The sequence below is a fragment of the Homo sapiens genome, chromosome 14, assembly GCF_000001405.40.
Source record: "Homo sapiens chromosome 14, GRCh38.p14 Primary Assembly".
NCBI lineage: Eukaryota > Metazoa > Chordata > Mammalia > Primates > Hominidae > Homo > Homo sapiens.
This window is the reverse complement of record NC_000014.9, coordinates 75,053,243-75,076,008: the sequence shown is the minus strand read 5'-3', so window position 1 is coordinate 75,076,008 and position 22,766 is coordinate 75,053,243. Positions and strand designations below refer to the sequence as shown.

General features: G+C 42.7%; 2 protein-coding genes across 13 annotated transcripts in view, besides 4 other annotated features; one reads left to right on the top strand and one right to left on the bottom strand.

Moving 5' to 3' along the window:
- The window catches only part of ZC2HC1C (zinc finger C2HC-type containing 1C), a 10,348-nt gene extending 3,980 nt beyond the window's left edge, over positions 1-6,368 (bottom strand). Inside the window, exons 1-2 of one of the 7 annotated variants that reach the window (XM_011537155.3) lie at positions 6,061-6,368; positions 4,098-5,454 (exon numbers count right to left, since the gene is read on the bottom strand). In XM_011537155.3, the coding sequence (XP_011535457.1) occupies positions 4,098-5,435 (1,338 nt within the window). In that variant the 5' untranslated portion in view covers positions 5,436-5,454; positions 6,061-6,368. The remainder of the gene's footprint in view (positions 1-4,097; positions 5,455-6,060) is intronic. The other 6 variants (XM_005268062.4, NM_024643.4, NM_001330191.2 and 3 more) reach the window with 6 other exon arrangements.
- Positions 5,622-6,173: an enhancer, noted in NCBI's record as "H3K27ac hESC enhancer chr14:75536539-75537090 (GRCh37/hg19 assembly coordinates)". NCBI's record gives its function as "activates a minimal SCP1, AML or CMV promoter by ChIP-STARR-seq in naive H9 embryonic stem cells {active_cell/tissue: H9 hESC(naive)}" and the evidence as "EXISTENCE:reporter gene assay evidence [ECO:0000049][PMID:30033119]".
- Positions 6,174-6,725: an enhancer, noted in NCBI's record as "H3K27ac hESC enhancer chr14:75535987-75536538 (GRCh37/hg19 assembly coordinates)". NCBI's record gives its function as "activates a minimal SCP1, AML or CMV promoter by ChIP-STARR-seq in naive H9 embryonic stem cells {active_cell/tissue: H9 hESC(naive)}" and the evidence as "EXISTENCE:reporter gene assay evidence [ECO:0000049][PMID:30033119]".
- Positions 6,350-6,469: a silencer, noted in NCBI's record as "silent region_5940". NCBI's record gives its function as "represses an Ori minimal core promoter by ATAC-STARR-seq in GM12878 lymphoblastoid cells {active_cell/tissue: GM12878}" and the evidence as "EXISTENCE:reporter gene assay evidence [ECO:0000049][PMID:35858748]".
- ACYP1 (acylphosphatase 1) lies at positions 6,519-22,766 on the top strand. Of its 6 annotated transcripts, NR_126393.2 has the most exons (4): positions 11,985-12,055; positions 12,448-12,539; positions 14,247-14,325; positions 22,350-22,766. NR_126393.2 is itself a non-coding variant. In NM_001302617.2 (3 exons), the coding sequence occupies exons 1-3, from the start codon at positions 6,718-6,720 to the stop codon at positions 22,563-22,565; spliced, it is 390 nt and encodes a 129-aa protein (NP_001289546.1). In that variant the 5' UTR covers positions 6,519-6,717; the 3' UTR covers positions 22,566-22,766. The 6 variants fall into 6 exon arrangements, 3 of the variants coding, with proteins under 3 accessions (NP_001289546.1, NP_001289545.1, NP_001098.1); NM_001302617.2 differs by lacking the exons at positions 11,985-12,055; positions 14,247-14,325 and adding an exon at positions 6,519-6,799; NM_001302616.2 differs by lacking the exon at positions 14,247-14,325 and having other exon boundaries at positions 11,985-12,037.
- Positions 11,645-11,814: an enhancer, noted in NCBI's record as "active region_8735". NCBI's record gives its function as "activates an Ori minimal core promoter by ATAC-STARR-seq in GM12878 lymphoblastoid cells {active_cell/tissue: GM12878}" and the evidence as "EXISTENCE:reporter gene assay evidence [ECO:0000049][PMID:35858748]".

Sequence of the window (22,766 nt, the reverse complement as noted above, 5' to 3'; positions counted from 1 at the left end):
CTTGGTTGACTGCAACGTCAGCCTCCTAGATTCAAGCGATTCTCCTATCTCAGCCTCCCAAGTAGCTGAGACTACAGGCGTGCGCCACCACGCCCGGCTAATTTTTGTATTTTTAGTAGAGATGGGGTTTCACCATATTGGTCAGGCTGGTCTTGAACACATGAGATCAGGTGATCCACCTGCCTCAGCCTCCCAAAGTACTGGGATTATAGGCGTGAGCCACAGCACCTGGTGAGGAGAAAATTATTAAGGAAATAATACAATTAACATTCCTAGAATTAAAGGTCACACATTTTGAGATTGAAATGGCTTACCAAGTATCTAGCACAATTATTGTAAAGTTTCAGAATTTCAAAATAAATAGAGAATCCCGTAGCCTTTTAAAAAAAAAGGTTTCTTGTAATGGAACAGGAATCAAAATGGCATTAGATTTCACAACAATACACTGGATGCTAAAAGCTAGTGGGAAATACTTTAAAAGTTCTAACAGATAATCATTTTCCTCCTAGAATTCTGTACCTAGCCAAATCATCAAATGGGAGCCTGTCATATAGATAGTGTCATTCATTCCAAGACAATATACCTGCTATGCACCCTTCTTAGTAAGCTTCAGCAAAGGAAGGAGTAATGCAAGAAAAAGGAAGACACAGGATGCTGGAAACAGAGGACCCAACAAAGAAGAGAAGCAAAGAGAAGTTCCAAGAGAATGAGTTTGCACCAGGCCTAGAGAATACCCAGTCCAGGTTGGAGCAGAAGGGATCAGAGTGGCTGAAGGGAGGTTTTCAGAATTAAAAAATCAAACTGATAGATTATGAGAGGTGTTTGAGCATTACAAAAACGTTAACAGATGTCTGATATCAGATGGATCGTTGCGGGGGAGAAAAAGACAGGTATGTAGAAAATGAAGGAAATGAAAACATACGTCCATTATTAATTTTAGGTACATGTGGGCAGAGACAGAATTTGTTCACTCATTAATGAACAAAATTTACTTGATCATTACAATGTGAAAGCTAACTACTTTTAACCAAAAATTGTGATTCGACTACAGTGGAAGGATAAGAGAAAGAGAACAGTAGGAGAGAGGGAATATGAAAGAGAACTTCACTCCCAGCTTCCATAAGAAGTTACCAGGTAGAACAGGCACCGTGGCTCACGCCTGTAATCCCAGCACTCTGGGAGGCCGAGGTGGGCAGATGACTTGAGGTTAGGAGTTCAGGACCAACTTGGCCAACTTGGTGAAACCCTGTCTTAACTAAAAATACAAAAATTAGCCGGGCGTGGTGGCACTCGCCTGTAAGCCCAGCTACTCAGGAGGCTGAGGCACAATAATTGCTTGAACACGGGAGGTGAAGGTTGCAGTAAGCCAAGATCAAGCCACTGCACTCCAGCCTGGGCGACAGAGACTCCGTCTCAAAAAAAACAAAACAAAACAAAAAAAAACAGGTAATGTAGAAAATTGATAAATCAAGAAAATAAGCATATTATTTGGAAATATGGAAAGGCAGACCAGAAGAACCATCTAACAGAACTGAAGGCTGCCTCCGGGGGCTGAATTAGGGGTTCCATTATAGGTCATTCAGTACTACATGTTTTTTAAATGCATGCAAACACTATTAAATTTTTTAAAGAGAAAAAAGACAACTAGCTCTTGGTGATCTGGCATTGTTAATGATGAATAATAGGAAGAGATACTATCAAAGGAAAAGAAAGGATCCTTCCAGAAAGTCTCTTGCCAAAACAGACAAGAAGGCAAGAGAGTATTAGCGATGGTATCCAGGAACCTTTAAAAGAATTCGAAGACCAGGCACGGTGGCTCATGCATGTAATCCCAACATTTTGGGAGGCTGAGGCGTGTGGATCACAAGGTCAGGAGTTCAAGACCAGCCTGGGCAAGATGGTGAAACCCCGTCTCTACTAAACATACAAAAATTAGCTGGGTGTGGTGGCGGGCACCTGTAATCCCAGCTACTCAGGAGACTGAGGCAGAGAATTGCTTGAACCCGGTAGGTGGAGGCTGCAGTGAGCCAAGATCGCTGCAGTGAGCCGAGATCGCGTCACTGCACTCCAGCCTGGGCAACAGGGCGAGACTCGGTCTCAAAAAAAGAATTTGATCAGGGGAAAGTTCCTCTCAAAGAATTTGATCAGGGGAAAGTTCCTCAAGTATATGAGATCCTTTAGTAATTTACTTCTTATACTCTAATTCCTATAATTTTATTCCTCATTGTACTGAAATTCTATTCAGTTAACACTTATTAAGCACAAAGCACAAAATATGTTCCCTGTCCTCAAAAATGCTTACAGTCCAGGAGAGAGACAGGGTGTACGTCTGCTGGGAGTTACGTGAAGATTAAAGGATACCAGGAAAATCACCTGTTCTTGAGTACTCTAGAGGAATGACAGGAAGGTACAACCACTCAGCTTCCAAAGGCACAGCACTGTGGAATAAGATTTGAGACATTACCAGGGTGGTGCAGGTGCATCTTAGTCTAGGTCCCTTCTGTCTTGGTGTCCTCAATGTCACACATTCCCACAAACTAGTTGCCATAAAGCTGGAGCATCTGATCTCAGGAACCTAATTATTTTGCTTCACCGTAACTGTATTTACGAATTTAAGAAACACAAGATTCTTTTAGGCTCTGGCCAAAAATAAATCGCTACAGTGGGACATAGAGTGAATTCCCAGTGGATTACTGGGTTGAACTGAAAGAAAACAGGAAAAAACAGTAAGTGGTGATCATATTATTATCTGCAAGAGCAAAATGCTGATTTCTTCTTTGGAAACTAGATTTCAGGGAGATGATCTCTGAACATGGATGGGACTTCCTTGTGATTTCTCCAAACTACTAAAAGAAAGAACTCTAATTGTAAACAATTTCTTCTAACAACCATCATATAAATGTGAGTTTTTAAAGGCTCCAGCAAATACACAGAAACTGTAAAGTGCCAATGGACAAGAGGTGCCAGCACAGCGGAGGGAGGGTTGGGAAGAAATGAAAACAGAATGACACTCTCTTATTCTTCTGGAATATTAGAACTAGATGGGGCCTCTGAGATCATATGATCTACGCTTTCCCAAACTTCAATCATCTGCACTTTCACTTCATCCTTACAACTAATTAATATTTTTCTGTAAATTCATGATCCCTGGAAATCAGGGGCTTAATATATTGTTATATTTTCCTAATATAACACTAAACGACGAATCAATTTTTCTAATACAACACTAAACACTAAAACTACTAAAATAAAGTTTGTCAGCATGCCACACCTTGAGAAATAACCATTTTATAAACCAAGTGGCACAACCTTGACATGTCATTCATTTATGAGACAATCTTCTCCAGATATGTCCAAATGTGCCTATGAAGTTCACCTAAATTTATCATGTAAGTGTCACGAAACCCTTACTTTTTCCAACCTGGTTTTTCTAAAGTGAGAAATAATTGGCAAGGGCATGGTTTGTAAGATAACCAGAAAGAAAGTCCTTTTTACCTTCAAGGTGTTTACATTCTAAATGGGCAGAAAAAGAATTCCAAACTTAATTGTGTTTCATCTATTTACTAAGAAGCTATGTTAACACTGAGCTAACCTTAAAAGAGTGAATAGTTAAAGGAATGGTCACAGATCCTAGTCTTGGGAAGTGGCAGAATACATTGCAAAGAGTGAGGAGTTCTCTCCAGGTGACAAAAGGCTGCATTTTTTTCTTTAGATTTTTTGTGTCTTTTAAATTTTCTACAGTAAACTTTTATTACTTTTATAATCCAAAGGACACAAATTCTATGTCTAGATTTTTTAGTCATTCCAACCAAGATTTATATGCCGACTCTGCCACTTAAAGCTGTTTGTGACCTCAAGCAAGTTACTTAGCCTGTCCAAGTCTTGATTTTTGAACTGATACAATGAGAGATAATGTGGAGATCACATGAAAAGCTCCCGTCACAATGCTGGCATACAGTAGTAATCAAGAAATGTTAATTCTAGACGTCAATTCTTCCTACATGACACATGAATTTTCCCTAAAGAAAACTGATGATGACAAAACAGACCCCTACAATGATCACCACACCAAGTCACATCCATAAGGCTCTTGTTACCTTGGCTGAAGCTGGCCCCTTCCAGTTCAAGTACTGCTCTAGTTCTGTGCCCTTAGCCCGGGCCCTGGAGGAGTCAAACACTTTCCTCTTGGAACCCCGCATCCTGCTGCAGATGTTGGAGTGTCTCTCCAGCCTGAACGAGAGGAATTTGCGCCCACAGTGGCTGCACTCACCCAGCTGTGGCTCTTCAATGGAGCCGCTGGAACCTGAGGAGTCTGGTGCCATGGACAGGCTGGAATTTCTGGCGGATCCCTGCAAAGCACCGACTGGTGTTTCTGAAGGCGGGGAGAATTTCTCCACCGATGGCTCTGAGACTGGGTCTCGAATTTTATTATTGCTTGCTACCAGCCTTTCCCTTTTGAGCCTCTGGATTCTATAATCAGAGAACTGGAATGGACCTGAATTTTGTTGAGACCGTCCCCAAGTTTCATCCTCTCTCCTGTCTCTACTAAATTCTTCCTCAAACTCAAATTCTGGGGAGAAGATAGGTTTGTACATGGTGTTGCTTTTATTACCTTTAACTCTGCTCCTGGGGAGTATAATTTTCTGTAGCTCTCCGTTTTCATTTTCCTTGGCCTGTTCCTTTTGCGTCTGGATCCTTCTGAGTTCCTCCTCTGTCTTCTTCAGCTTTCCCCTCAGGAGAATCTGCTTTCTTCGGATTTCCTCCTCTAAGCTCTCCCCTGCAGCTTCTAGTCTTCGGATCTGCACCCACTCCGTCCTGTCAAAGTTTGCCACGGCCTTCTCCGCCTGCGTGGCAGCAAGAACAGTACCAACCACAGAAAAGTTGCCCTGGTTCCTCACACCAAAGTTCCTAGATGAAAACTCTCTCGGCTCAGGGGGCCTTGGGTAGACATTATGGTCCCCATCAGTGCCAGCCTCACCTGTACTGCACGACTTCCTGTGGACCATGGGTTTCAATGGGAACGCCCGGTCCACTCCAACTCGTTTCTTTGTAAAGGGGATAAAGTCCTGGTTATTGGCTTTGGGATACCAGGATTGAGGGCCTGACGAGTAAAACAAACCATTTCCTTGGCCCTGGGAATCACTTTCTGGATCTTGCTGGCTGATTCCAGTACAGTGGGGATAGGAGTAGCTCCGGGCTTTTGTTTGGGTGTTCCATTTGGGGTGAGTATAGACTTTATCCAGAATCAACTCTTTGTTGCTCAAAAGCTGCTTCTGGAAATTGTTCCTCAGGTGCCCCTTCAAGGACTGCTGGGAAGAGTCACCTTGTTCGTAAGAGTCTTGCTTGGCTGAGTGGGGCCCTGGAGCTTCCGTTGTATTATGTGGGAGCATAACGCCCACAGGCAGATGTGACGCCAACCGCTGGAGACCAGCCATTCAGGGCCTGGACTGACGCCTACGGGAGATTTAAACCAGATACACGGGAAGAGTTTGTCTGAGGTTCACTCTCGGCTGCTAAAGCAAACTATTTCTACATTTGCCCTGCCCACATTCCCTTAAACTTTTCTGGGGACAGTGTTGCTGGACCTGCCAAAGCTTCCCTTCAAAAACCATTTGGTGAGTGATTATGCACAAGACACTGTGTTAGGCCCTGAGGGTAGAAAAACGAAGGTGCTACAGGTGTTCCTGCCACCTAGCTTTCCTTTCCTCCAGCACCAGCCTCTGCCACGCACAGTATACTCTATAGTAGGTGGAAAGAGCACCTGACTAGAAAGTCAGGTTCTAGGCCTGTAACAGGACAAGCGACTTCTCCCTTGCTGGCCCCCGTTTCTTCCCCTGTAAACTGAAGGGTTCCCGCAGAGTCCAGCCTCACCATTTTACAGGTGAGAAAGCTGTGGCCCAGAGGTAGTGACTGGCACAAAGAACTCTCAGGGCTTCCCTCCTGCTGGAACCGTGCTTGATTCCAAAGAGCACAAAAGCTGCTAGGGCCTGGAGCAGGTGCCTGGCTGTCAAACCCTCATCCCAGGAGTCCCCGTGGCGCAGACTGTAAAAGTTTTGTAACCTGAGCGTTGAGGGCCACCTGACCTGACCGCGGCCGGTTTTAGATCCTTAAGGCTGAAGTCACGTTTTGTCCCGAAGGGTCAACTGGGGCGCCCCCACTTCGGACTCCACCTCTGGGGACAAGTCCTCTCGCTCTCCTGCCCTTCGGTCCCTTAGGAGGTGGAGGTGCTGATCCCATGTCTCCCCGCCCTTCTGCGTACCTGAGGCCCTCGGGCACCGCTCCTGCTCAGGGAAAACCCCAGGGCCTAGTTTCCCAGACCTGACCTCCCCATCAACCGACAGCCGCGCAGGCGCTCTCAGCTGGCTTCTGTTATTCCCGGTGCCTGGAAACCGAGGCACTGGCGCGCCAAGCTCCGCCCCTCGCCGCGAACTCCTCGGGGAGACGCGCGCAGGCGCAGTGCACCAGCGACCCGGGGCGACCGGGGGTGGGGGTGCGGTCAGCCCAAGGTCACTTGACCCAGTCAGTGTCCGGCCAACTCTGCAGCTCGGTCCAGCCCTGCCCTTGGGGAGCCGGGGAGGGGCGGGAGAGGCTTTTCTGGAGCTCCTTCAAAGAAGAACTTGTACTTTTCTGAGAACGACGCTCCCAGACCTTGGGGTGTGCCCTTGTCTGGCAAAGGGCGGAGGCCCTGGCTGTGCCTCCGCGTGCTTCCGCCGCAGGATGCCGGCGTCCGCCCGCCTGGCGGGAGCGGGGCTGCTGCTGGCCTTTCTCCGCGCGCTCGGCTGCGCTGGGCGGGCCCCAGGTATGGCTGCACGCGCGCGCTCCTTGCTTGTCCTCGCCAAGGCTTTGGAACTTGCTGCCAACGTTTTTGCTACGCAGTATCTTTCCGTGGTAGTTTTTGTGGCCAATCTAATTATTTTGATATTATAATGTTTTACTCACGTGGTAATTCTAGCCGTCTCTACTTAGGGCCCAGGAATGACTCAGCCAAATGTAATGATGATAAAGTTAACTACCAGATCGAAAATAATCAGTATAACCTGGCTTCAACAGTAAATGATACTCTATCTTGTTGACATCAAAAGAAAGTTCATTTTTCTTCTTCGCTTCAGTTCATCTGTGTAAGCCGTTTGGAACAGGCAGTTCGCTTTTTCCCTGTAACTACTCAATTCATGCACATGGAAAATAATGTAGACAGCAGTCATCAGTGTTAATACTTCAACATGTCATATTACAGCTGTTACCCGTTACAAGGAAATTCCTTGGTGGACCCTCCAGATCAGTCTTTTTTTTTTTTTTAATTCCTCGTTTTCATCCCTAGTTGACTCTACCGCCTCTCCGTATATGCAGCTCCAGACGTTTCCCACTCCACTCAGGGTCCCGATTATCAACTCCCACAGCTTCCCTCAGCAGAATTTACCGGCTTTCTTTTTCTCTTTCTCTCTCTCTCTGTCTCTCTCTCTTCTTCCTCCTCTCCCTCTCTCCTCTGTTTCTGTCTCTGTCTGTCTCCCTCTCTCCTCTCTCTCTCTCCTTCCCTCTCCTCTATGAGAAAGAAGGGCGACTTTCCATTGAGTTCCATTGAGTTCTCTTGAATTAGTCCTTTTCAGTACCCTCCGGGAATTGACTCCATCACTTTACCCCTGCATTTTTGTTTTGTTTTGTTTTCTGTTTTGTTGGTTTTTGGGGTTTTTTAAAGTTGTTTGTTTTTTGTTTTTTGAGACGGAATCTCGCCCTGTTTTGTTGCCCAGGCTGAAGTGCAGTGGCGCACTCTTAGCTCACTGCCACCTCTGCCTCCTGGGTTCAAGTGATTCTCCTGCCTCAGCCTCCCGAGTAGCTGAGATTACAGGCGTCTGCCACTACACCTGGCTAATTTTTTGTATTTTTAGTAGAGACAGAGTTTCACCATGTTGGCCAGGCTGGTCTTGAACTCCTGACCCCAGGTGATCCGCCTGTCTCAGCCTCCCAAAGTGCTGGGATTACAAGCATGAGCCACCGGGCCTGGCCTTTGTTTTTGAGACAGGGCCTCACTCTGTTGCCCAGGCTGAAGTGCAGTGGCACAATCACTGCTCACTGGAGCCTCAACTTCCACAGCTCAAGTGATCCTCCCACCTCAGCCTCCCGAGTAGCTGGGACTACAGGTGTGTGCCCCCCACACCCAGCTTACTTCTTTTTTTTTTTTCTGTAGAGACAGGGTCTCCCTTTGTTACCCAGGCTGGTCTCAAACCCCTGGAGTCAAAAGAGATCCTCCCGCCTCAGTCTCACAAAGTACTGAGATTATAGACGTGAGAGACGGCACCCTGTCTGCATCTTGTTAACTTCAAGTTATACCTCTCCATAAACTCTGTCTCTTTGGTTTTAACATATACTCAACTTTCCCCTGCAAAACAAACCTTACTTCCCTTGACCTAACTTTCATATTACAGTCCCATTCATTTCTCCTCTTCTCCACAAGACTTCTTAATGGAAATCTCCACATTTGCTGCCCACATATCCTCATCTCCCCGTCATTGTCCAGTTCATTGTGGCCTGTCTTCTACTTTCTCCACTTTATTTAACTACAAAGCTACCAGTGACTTTCCAAAGACAAAAGCTTCATTTTTTCAGCCTACTCATGTGACATTACTGATTATCCACCCACTTAGAATGCTCTTCTCAGTTCTCCTGTGCCCTCTTGGTTTCTTCTTTCATGTTCTTGCTCCATCTTCTTCCAAGTCTGGCATTTATCTTTTCCCCATCTACTCCCTAAATTTAAGTGTTTTCTGAAGCCCTCTTATTTCATATATATGTGTGTGTGTGTGTGTGTGTGTGTGTGTGTGTGTGTGTGTGTGTAGTTCCAGACATTCTCTTCTTTAATGATTTCAACCAAATGCTGAAATTTCAGGTTTCACCTGTGTTTAAATGACAGCCAGCTTAGCTTTAGTCTTTCTCATTAGTTACAGACTCAAATTTCAGGACTGCCCATTTGACACCTCCACAAGATTGTTCCTTAGGAACCTCAAATTCTGTAAGACAACATAAACTCTGATCCTCTCCCATTCTCAAATCTGCCTCTCCAGTGTGCCCTTGCATGCTCACAGCATCAGTCTTCCATGCTTCCCTCTTTGTTGCCTCTTCCTTCTAACTAATCACAAGTTTTATTGAGTTTTCTTCCTTTTTTTCTTTGAGACAGTCTTGCTCTGTCATCCAGATGGGGGTGGAGTGGCGCGATCTCAGCTCACTGCAACCTCTGCCTCTCAGGTTCAAGCAATCCTCCTGCCTTGGCCTCCCTAGTAGCTGGAAGTACAGGTGTGCACCACCACGCCCAACTAATTTCTGTATTTTTAGTAGAGATGGGGTTTCATCAGTCTCAAACTCCTGACCTCAGGTGATCCACCTGCCTTAGCCTCCCAAAGTGCTGGGATTACAAACGTGAGCCATCACGCCTGGCCTATTGAGTTTACTTCTGCAATGTCTCTCATATATGACTCTTCCTTTACATTTCTGCTGCCCCAGGTGAGTTTTTCCTCACTTCTCCTTGGGATGGCATAGCCCTCCTAACTTCTGCTCTTGCCTTCAATATCTGCTCTTCAAACCCATCCTTCATGCTGCAGGCAAAATAATCAGTCTAAATATTTCTCCACCCCCCCCCAGCTTTATTAAAATATAATTGACAAGCAAAAATTATATCTATATTTGCAGTGTACAAAGTGATGTTTTGATAATGTATGCATTGTGCAGTGATTAAATCAAGCTAATTACTAAATGCTTCTGATCCTACCATTTCCCTCCCCAGTAGCTTCTTCTTTACCTATAGAATAAAGTTGAAATGCATAATTTAGCATGGCATCTCTACCTCCCAGATTAGGTCCAGCCTACCTTTTCAGTTTTGCCTCCCCTTAATAAGCCACAGAGTTCAACCCAGTGAGTCTCATCCCTGACTGTGTGTTAAGACTACTTGGAAAGCAATATCTAGGGGTGAGGCCTGAGGATTAACATTTTTAAAGCTTCCCCAAAGATCCTGATGCACAAGCAGGGTAGCAAACCCCTGGTCTAGCCACAACTGGCTACTTGTACTTCTTCATCTCCATGGTACTACATTACTCTAAGCTCCACATACTGGGAGCTGGTAGAGCATAGCATTCATGGGGATTGACTCTGGAACCAAATCCCAGCTCCATCACTTACTGGTTGTGTGACCTTGGATTAAATGCTGTTTCCTCCAAGAACTCTTTCCCTGTCTTCCCAATCAGAATTAATTTGTTTGCTCCTTTGTAATATTTTCTGTCCTTGTTATAGCACAGGGCTGGTTCCTGATGAGCTCTCAATGGATTTTCATGGAATTAAATTATCATGCCATATATTTTATTGTCATTATTTGCATGCATTTGTGCCCCTACACTAAATTAAAAACTCTTTGAGGGCAAAGATTTTATATCATTCATCTTTGTATATCCTAGAGTGCCCCATTCGTATTAGACACTCAGTAAGTTTTGAATTCTATAAACTATTTTTTAAATGAATTTTAGAGAAAGAAATACCATTAGCAAGATACTCTATTTAGAGTTATTTTCAAATATTGCCAAGTACAACATTCAATCCAGCTTGTTCACCACCAACCCCCCACCTCTCAGCACTAAGGTTGTATGATTCTCTAGGATATGGATCCTCACTCTAGCGGGGAACTAGCAGAATGATGAATTTCCGTGCCTACTGTCACAAACCCATATCTCATTGTCAAGTCTGCCAACCTGGCATATTCACATAAGGAGTCTTTACGTTATGAAGAGGTGTAATGTATACAGTCAATCCACAGAGGATCAATAAACACCACAGTTTTCCTTCACACACATGAATCATAAGGGTAGCTGGATTCAAATGTTTACACATCAACTCTAATTTTAACCATCTTCATCCACATCCCCCTTGACAATTCCCTGTTCCCAAAATAAATTCGTGTAGTTTGGCCATTTGGCTTAGATTGACTGACTCAACTGTAATTCTGGAGCCATGAGTTATTTTGCTTGTGCTCTTGCTTTATTTGTGTAGTTAGCTGGTTATTTGTTCAAGCATTATTTGACATTTTCTTAGTAAAGGAGACCGGTGAGTAGCTTCCAGAAGCCCAGAAGCAGACATAACCTCCATTGGGACCTCCTGTGCACTTATGCCCCGTAATCCCCTATTCCAGATTGTTATGACCCAAACTTTAAGGAGAACTGAATGAAAAAGGACAGAAAGGTTAAATGTATCCTACTCAACATATTTATGATGTTTATTTTTTTATTTATTAATTTATTTATTTGAGTCAGAGTCTCCCTCTGTTGCCCAGGCTGGAGTGCAGTGGGGCAATCTCGGCTCACTGCAGCCTCCACCTCCCAGGTTCAAGCGATTCTCCTGCCTCAGCCTCCCGAGTAGCTGGGATTACAGGCGCCCGCCACCATGCCCGGCCAATTTTTGTATTTTTGGTAGAAACGGGGTTTCACCATGTTGGCCAGGCTGCTCTCGAACTCCTGACCTCAAGTGATTCGCCCGTGTCGGCCTCCCAAAGTGCTGAGATTACAAGCTATTTATGATGTTTAATGTGTGCTGTTTGTCTCTCACCTCCAGAATTAAGCTCCTCAGGACAGGGATCCTGTTTTGTTCACTGATGTTTGCCTGGTCACCTAGAACAGGTGCCTGGCACACAGTAGCTGTCAGTCAGTATTTAATTGAATGATTGAATGTATCCCCATGTACTTCTTCGTCTATGCCTTTCTCCTCATGAGAAAATGAGAAGAGGGTTGCGCTTGTTGACTGAGATGCGATGAGGGCTAGGTTTGTGGAGGCCCAGCCGAGTTCCTGGACAGATCCCCAACCCAAAGCTTTTGGGTTGCCGGACAACCGCGTCCTGAAATCCCACCTTCTGGGCGGGCCCGGGCCGAGGCGCCGTCTCTGATTGGTCAGCTGGAGGTGATGGGCATGAGCGACAGCGAAGGAGCAGCTACACACTAAACTTCCGGGCGCGGAGGTTTGCGCGCCTTGGTGAGCCGTTGGCGTGGTGGTCCCGGAGTGATCCTGGCAGCCGGTGGGGAAGACAAGGAGGGTGAGCCGCCAGGGGCCCCCAGGGTGTGCTTCTCAGGTCGATTAGCCCTAAAATGTTAGTAGCAGGGGATTCTGGGAGTTAGTAGCAGGGAATTCTGGTAGTGAGGGAGCGGGACCGGGCATGGATGTAAGGAGGTCATCGGTCCTCAGGTTATTTCCCCAGAAGAGGCTTCAGCGGGCAGCTGCGATCCGAAGCTCCCTCTCCCGGCGTCTGGTTCTTCCTTCACACACACCTTATCACATCCACTCACGTTTCCATTTCCAGGACCTTGAAGTCGGGGAGAGGTCGCAATGGTTAAGGATGGACAGGGGTGGGTGTGGCCCTTTCTGACTCAGGCTTGCGGGTCCTGGAATAATAGCCCTTCACTCTTCTGCTTTCCTGGTTTCTGACAGGTTTGAGCATGGCAGAAGGAAACACCCTGATATCAGTGGATTATGAAATTTTTGGGAAGGTGCAAGGGGTGTTTTTCCGTAAGCATACTCAGGTATGTGGCCTGCAGGCTTTGGGGTGGTAACCTAGGTTGTGGGCATAGGAACAAGGGACGTGTTCTTGACAAATGTGAACTAGAAGCCGCTGGCTATTTGGTAGCTGCATGGCAAAGAGGTAGTTTGTAGAGCAATGAGTATGAAAATGCTGTGCAATCGGTAAAACATGGTGTAAATGGAAGATCACCCTGCTGTTATTATTAGTCAGTGGTGCCTGAGCATCTAGATACACATATTAATGAGCTTCTCTCTTCCAAGGGAAATAGAGGGCTTCCCCAGTGCTCGCCGTTGTGGCATCATCAAACCAAGTCAGGTTTCTTATAGAAAGGCTAACATTGATTGAAGAGCTGGCATTTAGATGACCTGATGTCATGTATATAACATATATAAATGCTTCCTCTGCAGCTGCTGCACTTTCTTCAGACCTCTTTCTCCAAGCTTCCCTCAGTTCTCCACTTAATTTCTTTCTATTCTTTTTTGGTTTTGAAAGAACATTTACCTTTTCCAGCTGACGTTTTTCTTATTAAAAACTCTTTATCCATTCCAGAATAGGTGATGGGAACACTGAATGTGGAGCCTGGTATTCTTCCTAGAGCAATAAAGGATTATTTGAGGGGATGGACAAACTGTTGGCAGCCTCTACCTCTGCTTTAATGTGGCTAATCTTCCCTCAACAGGCACACACAAATGCAAGCTCAATTTACCCTCTGCCTTCTGTAGGTATTGGCTATTGCCTTCCCAGTGTGTCGCTAATCCCACAGATAATGAGTTAGGACTGCAAAACTTCTTTTTTTTTTTTTTTTTTTTTTGTATTTTTAGTAGAGACAGGGTTTCACCATCTTGGCCAGGCTGGTCTTGAACTCCTGGCCTCGTGATCCATCCGCCTCAGCCTCCCCAAGTGCTGGGATTACAGGTGTGAGCCACCGCACCCGGCCAGGACTGCAGAACTTCTTAAGTGTCTCATTCCTGGGACTGTGGTACTTAAAATTCAAATTCTAACCTGGAAGGAATCTTTGAAACATGAATGTGAATTGTCAATACCTCTTTCCCTTTTTCTTTTTTTTTTCTGAAGGATGGTGGCACAGTCACAGCTTATTGCAGCCTTAACCTCCCAGGCTCAAATGATCCTCCTTCCTCAGCCTCCCAAGTAGCTGGGACCACAGGTGCATGCCGCCACACCCAGCTTTTTTTTTTTTTTTCTCTTTTAACAGAGAGCTATGTTGCCCAGGCTGGTCTCAAACTCCCAGGCTCAAGTGATCCTTCTGCCTCGGCCTCCCACCAGTGTGCTGGGATTACAGGCATGAGTGACCATACCCAGCCAATACCTCTTTTTCTTTTCTTTTCTTTTTTTTTTTTTTTTTTTTTTTGAGACAGAGTTTCATTCTTTTTGCCCAGGCTGGAGTGCAATGGCACGATCTCAGCTCACCGCAACGTCCGCCTCCCGGGTTCAAGCGTTTCTCCTACTTCAGCTTCCCAAGTAGCTGAGATTACAGGCATGTGCCACCATGCCCCGCTAATTTTGTATTTTTAGTAGAGACAGGGTTTTTCCATGTTGGTCAGGCTGGTCTTGAACTCCCAACCTCAGGTGATCCGCCCACCTTGGCCTCCCAAAGTGTTGGGATTACAGGTGTGAGCCACTGTGCCCGGCCAATACCTCTTTTTCTAATTATTCAAAAATCATTTCTTCCCATCTGACACTCAAATAGGAAATGACTGTTGAAAACAGAATTGCTGAAACTCACAGCAAGAGCTGTGTTCCAGTTAGCTTTGCTACCAGTTATGCAGGTAAGTTCCTGTAAATTAAGGTGATTGAGATAACAGCTTCAAAGATTAGTCAAAGTTGTTGAGGGAAAAGGGTCAGATAGTGGTATGCATAGCCCATCTTTCTCTACCTGCCCCTCTCCCCAGTTTAAAGAGAGAATAACAGAATGCAGAAAAACAAATATTGATTGGAAAACTGCATATAAAATGACATCTATTTTTTCTTAATTAGGCTTGTAGCTTATTCTTTACTATTTATAATCATTTAAATATATATGTTCATTTGAACAGTTGTTTTGCTGCAATGTTTGCTGTTGATATTATCTAGCCTCTTATTTAAATTCCTTCATTTCTAGAGAAGTGACAAATAATAATTCAGGGACTTTTGAAAACTTGGAATATAATTTACATCCCATAAAACCCATCCTCCTAAAGTGTATAATTTGGTGATTTTTAGTATATTCACAAAATGTTGCACTAATTCCAGAACATTTTCATCATCCCAAAAAGAAACCCCTACCTAGGTTAGCACTCACTCCTCATCCCCTGAGCCCCTGGCAACCACTAACCTACTTTCTGTCTCTATGGATTTGCCTATTCTAGATTGTTGTTGTTGTTGTTGTTGTTGTTGAGACAGAGTCTCAACTCTGCCTCATTCTGTCACCCAGGCTGGAGTGCAGTGGCGTGATCTCGGCTCACTGCAACCTCTGCCTCCTGGGTTCAAGTGATTCTTCTCCCTCAGCATCCCAGGTAGCCGGGATTACAGGCATGCACCACCATGCCCAGTTAACTTTTGTATTTTTAGTAGAGATGGGGTTTCACCATGTTGGCCAGGCTGGGTCTTGAACTCCTCACCTCAGGTGATCCACCTACCTCAGCCTCCCAAAGTGCTGGGATTACACGCATGAGCCACCGTGTTCAGCCTATTCTTGATATTTAATATAAATGGAATCATACAAATGTGGCCTTTTTTTGTGACTGGCTCCTTTCACTTAACATATTGTTTTCAAGGTTTATCTACACTGTAGCATGTATTAGTATCCTATTCCTTTTTATGGCTGAATAATATTCCATTGTATGGATATACCACATTTCATTTATCCATTCATCAATTGATGGAAATTTGGGTTTCTGATTTTTGGCCATTATGAATAGTAGTGCTGTGAACACATATGCACATATTTTTATGTAGACAATGTTTTCAGTTCCATTGAGTATATACATACCTAGGAGTAGATTGCTGGGTCATATGGTAACTTTATGTTTAGCTTTTTGAGGAACTGCCAAACTTTTCCAAAGTAGCTATACCATATTATGTTCTCACTGGCAATGTGTGAGAATTCCAGTTTGTCCACATCCTTGCCAACAATGGTTACTGTCTTTTATGTTAGCCATCCTAGTGGGTATGAGGTAATATTTCATTGTGGTTGTTTGTTTGTTTTTCAGGTATTAATGAATTTAAAAGGATTTAAATCAAGGAATGTTCTCCAACTACAGTGGAACTAAACCACATTAAAAAAATAAAAAGGATAACTGGAAAATCCCAAAATATTTGGAAACCATATAGCACACTTACTTCTAAAATTGTGGTAGAATACATATAACATAGAAATTATTGTTCTAACCATTTTTAAATGTACAATTCAGTGGTCTTAAGCACATTCACATTGTTCTGTTTATCTACAGAACGCTTTTCATCTTGCAAAACTGAAACTCTGTATTCATTAAACACTAACTCCCCATTTTCTCCTTCCCCCATGCCCCTGACAATCATAAATCTACATTCTATTAATTCAACTGCTCTAGTTACCTCATATAAGTGGAATTTTACAGTATTTGTCCTTTTGTGGCTGGCTTATTTCACTTAGCATAATATCCTCAGGGTTCATCTGTGTTATATCATGAAAGTAAAAACAATTTCCTTTCTTTGTAAGACGGAATAATATCCTGTTGTATGTGTATACTTTCAGTGTGGTTTTGATTTGCCTTCCTAATGACTAATGATGTTGAGCATCTTTTCATGTGCTTATTGGCATATTTTATGTCTGCTTTGAAGAAATGTCCATTCAAATATTTTTGCCCATTTTTAGTTATTTGCCTCCTTATTCTTGAGTTGTAAGAATATTTTTATTCTGGATACTAGTCCCTTATCAGATGTATGATATACAAATATTTCTCCCATTCTGTGGGTTGTCTTTTTAATTTCTTGATAGTGTCTGTGAAGTACAAAAGTTTTTACTTTTGATGAAGTCAAATCAAATTTATCTGTTCTTTTTTTGCTTGCACTTTTAGTGTTATATCTAAGAAATCTTCCTAATCCAAGGTCATGAAGGTTCATGCCTATGTTTTTTGTTTGTTTTGTTTTTGTTTTTTGTAGCAACTGGGTTTCCCCATGTTGCCTGGCTGATCCTGACCTCAAGCAATCTGCCCACCTCAGCCTCCCAAAGTGCTGGGATTACAGGTGTGAGCCACCACACCCAGCTGCTGTCATGCCTATGTTTTCTTTTCCTTTTTTTTTTTTTTTTTTTTTTAAGACAGAGTCTCGCTCTGTGCAGTGGCGCGATCTCGATCTCGGCTCACTGCAACCTTCCGCCTCCAGGGTTCAAGCGATTCTCCTGAGTAGCTGAGATTACAGGTGTGCTATATCACGCCCAACTAATTTTTGCATTTTTAGTAGCGACGGGGTTTCACCATGTTGGTCAGACTGGTCTCGAACTCCTGACCTCGTGATCCACCCGCCTCAGCCTCCCAAAGTGCTGGGATTACAGGCGTGAGCCACCGCGCCCAGCCGCCTATGTTTTCTTCAAAATTTCATAGTTTACACTCTTAGATTGAGGTCTTTGATCCAGTTTGAGTTAATTTTTATGTGATGTGAGGTAGGAAATCCAGCTTTATTCTTTTGCATATGAATATCCAGTTGTCCCAGCACCATTTGTTGAAGTGAGTATTATTTCCCACATTCGTCATAGCACCCTTTTCAAAAATCAACATAAATGTAAGGATTTATTTCTGGACTCTCAATACTATTCCATTCATCTATATGTCTGCCTGCTGTAGTTGAGATGTTTGTCCCCTTCAAATCTCATGTTGAAATTTGATCCCCAGTGTTGAAAGTGGGACATAATGGGAGATGTTTGAGTAATGGGGCCAGGTCCCTCATGAGTAGATTAATGCTCTTCCTGGGGGGTGGGAGGGTCAATGAAGTCTTACTCTATTAGTTCCCTGGAGAACTGGTTGTTATTTTTATTTATTTTTTTTGAAACGGAGTCTTGTTCTTGTCGCCCAGGCTAGAGTGCAGTGACACAATCTCGGCTCACTGCAACCTCTGCCTCCAGGGTTCAAGCAATTCTCCTGCCTCGCCCTCCCAAGTGGCTGGGATTACAGGCACCCGCCACCACACCCAGCTAATTTTTGTATTTTTAGTAGACACAGGGTTTCACCGTGTTGGCCAGGCTGGTCTCAAACTCCTGACCTCAGGTGATCCGCCCGCCTCAGCCTCCCAAAGTGCTGGGATTACAGGTGTGAGCCACCGTGCCCGGTGAGAACTGGTTGTTAAAAAGAGCCTGGTACCCCACCTCTTCCCACCCCTGCCTCACAGTGGAAACAGCCTAAGGCCCTCACCTGATGCCAGTGACAGTCTCATGCTTATACAATCTACAGAATCATGAGTCAAATAAACCTCTTTTCTTTATAAATTACCCAGCCTCAGCAGGTAGTTCTTTTTTTTTTTTTTTTTTTTTTTTGAGACAGAGTCTTGCTCTGTTGCCTAGGCTAAAGTGCAGTAGTGCGATCTCGGCTCACTGCAACCTCCACTTCCTGGGTTCAAGCAATTCTCCTGCCTCAGCCTCCTGAGTAGCTGGGATTACAGGCACCCACCACTGCGCCCGGCTAATTTTTGTATTTTTAATAGACGGCGTTTCACCGTCTTGGCCAGGCTGATCTCGAACTCCTGACCTCATGATCCCCCCACCTCGGCCTCCCAAAGTGCTGGGATTACAGGTGTGAGCTACCACGCCTGGTCCTCAGGTAGTTCTTTATAGCAACACGAAATGGTCTAAGCCACTATCCTTATGCCAGTACCACACTGTCTCAGTTACTGCAGCTTTGTAGTAAGTTTTGAAATTGGGAAGTGTGAATCCTTCAACTTTGTTTTTCCTTTTCAAGATTATTTCTAGCTATCCTGGGTCCCTTATGTTTCCATGTAAATTTTAGTATCAATTTTTCGATTTCTGCAAAAGCACTGGGATTTTGATAGAGATTGAGTTGAATCTGTAGATCAATTGGGTAGTAATATCATCTTAACAATGTTAAGTATTTCAATACATCAGTAAGGGATGTCTTTCCATTTATTTAGATACTCTTTAATTTCTTTCAAGAATGTTTTGTAGATTTCCATATATGTCGTGCAATTCTTTTGTTAAATTTATTCCTAGACACTCTATCTTTTTGATGCTATTATAAATGGAATTGTTTCCTAATTTCATTTTCAGTTTTTCATTGCTAGTGTATAGAAATACAATTGATTTTTGTATATCAATCTTATATCCTACAACCTTGTGAGACTGTTAATTAGCTCTAGTGTGTGCCTGTGTATGTTTCTTAGGACTTTTTGTATACAAGATATGTCATCTACAAATAGAGGTAGTTCTGCTTTTTCCTTTCCAATCTGAATGCCTTTTCTTTCTCCTGCTGTGGATAGACCCTCAAGTATAATATTGAGTAGAGTGGTAACAGCAGACATCCTTGTCTTGTTCCTGATCTTCGTGGGAACGTTTTTAATCTTTCACCATTAAGTATGATGTTAGCAGTGGGTTTTTCACAGATTCCCTTTATCAGGTTGAGGAAGTTTCCTTCTGTTCCTAGTTTGTTGAGTGTTTTGATCATAAAAGAGGTATTGGTTTTTGTCAAATGCTTTTTTGCCATCTATTGAGATGATCATATAGCTTTTGTTTTATTAATATGGTGTATTAAATTGATTACTTCTTGTATATTGAACCAACCTTGAAAGAAATCCTAGTTTGTCATGGTATACAATTCTTTTTCTGTGTTGCCTGATTTGGTTTGCTAGTATTTTGCTGATGATTTTTGCATCTCTGTTCATAAGAGATATTGGTCTATGGTTTTTTGGTTGTTTTTTCTCGTGACAGCTTTGTTTTTGGGAGGCTGAGGAAGGAGGATCATTTGAGCCTGGGAGGTTAAGGCTGCAATAAGCTGTGACTGTGCCACCATCCTTCAGAAAAAAAAAAGAAAAAGGAAAAGAGGTATTGACAATTCACATTCATGTTTCAAAGATTCCTTCCAGGTTAGAATTTGAATTTTAAGTACCACAGTCCCAGGAATGAGACACTTATTTTTCATTTTTATTTTTTAGCTTTAGTTTTAGTATGAGGATAATGCTGGCTTAATAAAATGTGTTGGGAAGTGTTTCCTCTTCTTTTTTTTAACCCTTAATTCTTGGTTTGGATCTTCTTCTATTTTTTGGAAGAGTTTGTGAAGGGTTGGTAAAGGATTTTTTTTTAAACATTTGGTAGAATTTACCCATGAAGCCATCTGGTCCTGGGCTTTTTATCTGTGGGAAGTTTTTGATTACAAATTCCATCTCTTGGTATAGGTCTATTCAGACTTTCTATTTCTTCTTGATTCAGTTTTGGTTGTTTGTCTTTCTAGGTATTAGGTTTGTTTTCATCCAAAAAAATTTAATCTAATTTTTTGGCATATAATTGTTCATAGAATTCCCTTTTATCCTTTTTATCTTTGTAAGGTTGGTGGTAATGTCTCCTTTTATTTCTGATTTTAGTAATTTGAGGCTTTCATCCGTTTTTCTTTATCAGTCTAGCTAAAGGTTGTCAATTTTGTTGATCCTGTCAAAGAAGCAACTTTTGTTTTATTGATTTTCTCTATTCTTCTGCTTTCCATTAATTTCTGCTCTAATCTTTATTTCCTTCTTTCTGCTCATTTTGAATTCAGTTTGCTCTTCTTTTTCTAGTATCCTAAGGTGGAAATCTTGATTATTGATTTGAAGAGAGTTTCTTTTTAGATTGCAACTAGAGGTGGTGATTACAGTCCTTGAAATGTTGTCAGATGATTGTTTAAGCAAAAATATGGTTATGAGGTAGAATTCACTTTTTGGAATTTTCTTAGGGGAGAAAAACCCTGTTGGTGCAATAGATATTCAAAACTGAACATGAGTCAATAACATTATGTCATCATTAAAAAAATAAGAACAGAGTTGAGCACACAAATGAAACCAGTAGGAAACGCCCATTCTCAACACTGGTCAAATTTTGGAGTGTTCTGTTCAACTCTCAAGAGTTCAGATAAGGCCAGGTGCAGTGGCTCATGCCTGTAATCCCAGCACTTTGGGAGGCCGAGGCAGGCGGATCATGAGGTCAGGAGATCGAGACCATCCTGGCTAACACAGTGAAACCCCATCTCTACTAAAAATACAAAAAAATTAGCCGGGAGTGGTTGCGGGCGCCTGTGGTCCCAGCTACTGGGGAGGCTGAGGCAGGAGAATGGCATAAACCTGGGAGGCGGAGCTTGCAGTGAGCTGAGATCACGCCACTGCACTCCAGTCTGGGCGACAGAGCGAGACTCCGTCTCAAAAAAAAAAAAAAAAAAAAAAAAAGAGTTCAGATAAATCACATTGCAAATTTTTAAAGATTTATTTGACTGTGACAACCTCCTGTTTAAAACTGCACATTCTTACAGCTATTTACCATATAAGATAACTCTTAAGAACTGGAGATAGTCAGCTCCCCTGGGTTAATTTGAAGCAGAAGAGGGCAGTTGTTATACTGCCCTGTCAGTTGGATGCGGAGTCTTACTCAAAATTCATTCTCAGCATTCTTCTTTTATGGTATCTTCTTTGGCACTTAGCAGCGCATCAGGTAGGCATCTTCTATTTTTCTTCATTCCTTAATTTCCTTTGTATCCCTCAAATGGTTATTTATTTGGCTGGAGTCTGTTTTGTTCATTAAGCAAACATGTCTTTGCTTTGAACATGTCTTTGATTTGATGGATACTTAAATTCCTCATCAAACATTTTGTTGCTATGCATAACGTTTTCTTTGGCCAACTCCAGCAATTTCCCACATTTTGACATGCAATCATGTTAACTCCCATTTTCTTTTGTAATCCAACATCTTCTATTTAGATAATTACTTTAACAATCAATGACTTAATATTCTAATCATAAATTTATACAAAAATAAAATTACCTCCAAAACATTGCTACCTTTCCTAAACATTCAGTCTTGCCACAGTTTAATAAAAGGAAAGAACATTAAAAAGGATAAGACACTGTAATGATTAGATGCTTTTTATAAGCCTAAAGGCATTGTGATTATTTAGACAGAAGAGAAGAAAGTGAAGTGAAAACCTGATAGTTATGTAGTCTCATGGTTTGCTGTTGAGAGGCTGAACACCAGCTGCTTTCCTTTTCTAGGAAGATAATAAAGTGGGCTTTGGCTACAACATAAAGATGTTGGGTTAGACAGTTTCACTACAGTAAGAACAACGGGATGAGTTGCCCAGGAAATTGTGAAATACTTTCTAATGATCTTTAAAGATATAATGAACACTAATTCATCTGGATTTGTTTACGTGTGGTCCTGGTTAAAGGCAAAGGGAAGGATCAGATAACTTCATGTTTTTTCCATTTAACATACCCAATAGATTCTTGATTAGGGGAAGGGAAAATGAGCAAGATACAGTCCAGTATTCTAAAAACAATCAGCCTTAGGGGATCATTTCAAAAGCATCTGTTTTGGACTTAAGTCTTTGATACTTAACCAAATTGACTACACAGTGAAAAATTCTAGTGCCTGGGTTTTATAGGGTAGAAGAAAGACATGCAGTCAAGTGGCCAATACTTCATGTGAAGATAAGCAATGAGATCCTTCTTGCTGTCTTTCTTTTGACTGTTCTGGGCAATATCAAATTAGTTTCAGTGGCTTGATTCTAGGCCAAGATTCTGGCAACAGATTGTAGTCTTACCTTGTTTTCTTCAATCTCACTGGATCTCTCTCTCTTTTTACCCCCCTTAGGCTGAGGGTAAAAAGCTGGGATTGGTAGGCTGGGTCCAGAACACTGACCGGGGCACAGTGCAAGGACAATTGCAAGGTCCCATCTCCAAGGTGCGTCATATGCAGGAATGGCTTGAAACAAGAGGAAGTCCTAAATCACACATCGACAAAGCAAACTTCAACAATGAAAAAGTCATCTTGAAGTTGGATTACTCAGACTTCCAAATTGTAAAATAATGGCCTGAATTTAAGTTTTCTAAGATAAACTCAGTGGTTTGGTTTTTATTATTAATAGAGATAGAACTATTGTGTGTTAATATTAGCATTAGTCAATAAGTTATTTTAATGTCAGATTTTTGAATGTTATTATATATTACCTGTATGATGGAAGGATTACCACTGTACACAAATCTAATCAATAAAAACGTTAGAACCTTC

Excerpts from the sequence above, each read along its gene's own strand:
- ACYP1 (NM_001302617.2), top strand. The coding sequence starts at position 6,718 with ATGCCGGCGTCCGCCCGCCTGGCGGGAGCGGGGCTGCTGCTGGCCTTT. Across the intron at positions 6,800-12,447 it reads CTGCGCTGGGCGGGCCCCAG|GTTTGAGCATGGCAGAAGGA; the intron begins GTATGGCTGCAC and ends GGTTTCTGACAG. Across the intron at positions 12,540-22,349 it reads TTTTCCGTAAGCATACTCAG|GCTGAGGGTAAAAAGCTGGG; the intron begins GTATGTGGCCTG and ends TACCCCCCTTAG.